This window comes from Homo sapiens, chromosome 12 (genome assembly GCF_000001405.40).
Source record: "Homo sapiens chromosome 12, GRCh38.p14 Primary Assembly".
In the NCBI taxonomy this organism is placed as follows: Eukaryota; Metazoa; Chordata; class Mammalia; order Primates; family Hominidae; genus Homo; species Homo sapiens.
Genome location: NC_000012.12, coordinates 110,840,342 through 110,842,219, shown reverse-complemented (window position 1 = coordinate 110,842,219; position 1,878 = coordinate 110,840,342). Strand labels below are relative to the sequence as shown.

At 49.3% G+C, this 1,878-nt stretch overlaps 1 pseudogene; it reads left to right on the top strand.

The window, feature by feature from the left end:
- On the top strand, positions 213 to 468 carry RPL29P25 (ribosomal protein L29 pseudogene 25; annotated as a pseudogene).

The following is a 1,878-nucleotide window of genomic DNA, read 5'->3' as shown; positions in this document are numbered from 1 at the left end:
CCTGGCCAACATGGTGAGAGCCTGTCTCTACTAAAAATACAAAAAAATTAGCCGGGCATGATGGCATGCACCTGTAGTCCCAGCTACTCAGGAGGCTGAGGCAGGAGAATCGCTTGAACCTGGGTGGCAGAGGTTACAGTGAGCTGACATTGCACCATTGCACTCCAGCCTGAGTGACCGAGGGAGGCTCTGTCTCAAACAAACAAACAAAAAACAAATTCTGATCGCAAAGATATGAATCTCTTTAGGGGGTGGACCCTAAGTTCCTGAGGAACATGCGCTTTGCCAAGAAGCACAACAAAAAGAGCCTGAAGAAGATGCAGGCCAACAATGCCAAGGCCATGGGTGCACGTGCCGAGGCTATCAAGGCCCTGGCAAAGCCCGAGGAGGCTAAGCCCAAGATCCCAAAGGGCATCAGCCACAAGCTTGATCGACCTGCCTGCATCACCCACTCCAAGCTTGGGAAGCTCCATCAACCTGCCTGCATCACCCCACTGGAGTGCAGTGGTGAGATCTCAGCTCACTGCAACCTCTGCCTCCCAGGTTCAAGTGATTCTCCTGCCTTGTGCTGGCACTGCCAAGCGTCTCAGGCTCTGTCGGCCAAAGGCCAAGGCCAAGGATCAAACCAAGGCTTGGGGTCCAGCTTCACTTCCAGCTCAGGCCAGGATGGAAGGACTGGTGTAACCCCTGGGCTGTCAACCCCACGGGACTATTGTCCTCCTGTGCTCTTTGTACAAATAAACTGAGGCAGGAAAGAAAAAAGAACTATCAGATACAGAGACCGTGGCCATTGTTGACATCCAAAGTTTCCAATTCCTTCCTAGTGGGATCCAGAATTGCACCCCTCTTGGCCTCCCTTCCAATTGTCAGAGGCATTTGAATCAAAGCAACTCCATCTTGAGTAGGGGCTGGGTAAAATAAGGCTACGACCTACTGGGCTGCATTCCTAAACGGTTAAGGCATTCTAAGTCACAGGATGAGATAGGAGGACAGCACAAGATACAGATCATAAAGACCTTGCTGATAAAACAGTTTGCAGAAAAGCAGCTGGCTAAAATCCACCAAATACAAGATGGCGACGAGTGTTCTCTGGTCGTCCTCATTGCTGCTCTCCCACCAGCGTCATGACAGTTTATAAATGCCATGGCAATGTCAGGAAGTTACCCTATATGATCTAAAAAGGGGAGACATGAATAATCCACCCCTTGTTTAGCATATCATCAAGAAATAACCATAAAAATGGGCAATCAGCAGACCTCGGGACAGCTCTGTCTATGGAGTAGCCATTCTTTTATCCCTTTACTTTCTTAATAAACTTGCTGTCACTTTACTCTATGGACTCACTCTGAATTCATTCTTGCAGGAGATCCAAGAACCCTCTCTTGGGGTCTGGATCCGGATCCCTTTCCTGTAACACAGTGAGGCACAATGGCGCAGTGGACAGAATGCTGGAGTCCTGGATCTGCCACTGGTTTGCTGTGTGCCCCTAGAAAAGCAAATAGACTTCTCTGAGCCTTGATTTATTGAGACTGCCAGGACCAAATGGAGAACTTTAAAGTCTGCAAAGATTGTGAAATATTTTACCCCACCCATGGCATTCAAAATAAAAACAGGGCTGAGCACGGTGGCTCACACCTGTAATCCCAGCACTTTGGGAGTCTAAGGCAGGCAGATCACCTGAGGTCAGGAGTTCAAGACCAGCCTGGCCAACATGGTGAAACCCCATCTCTCCTAAAAATACAAATATGAGCTGGGTATGGTGGTGCGTGCCTGTAGTCCTAGCTTCTTGGGAGGCTGAGGCAGGAGAATCACTTGAACCCGGGCAGTGGAAGTTGCAGTGAGCTGAGATCATACCACTGCACTCCAGCCTAGGTAACA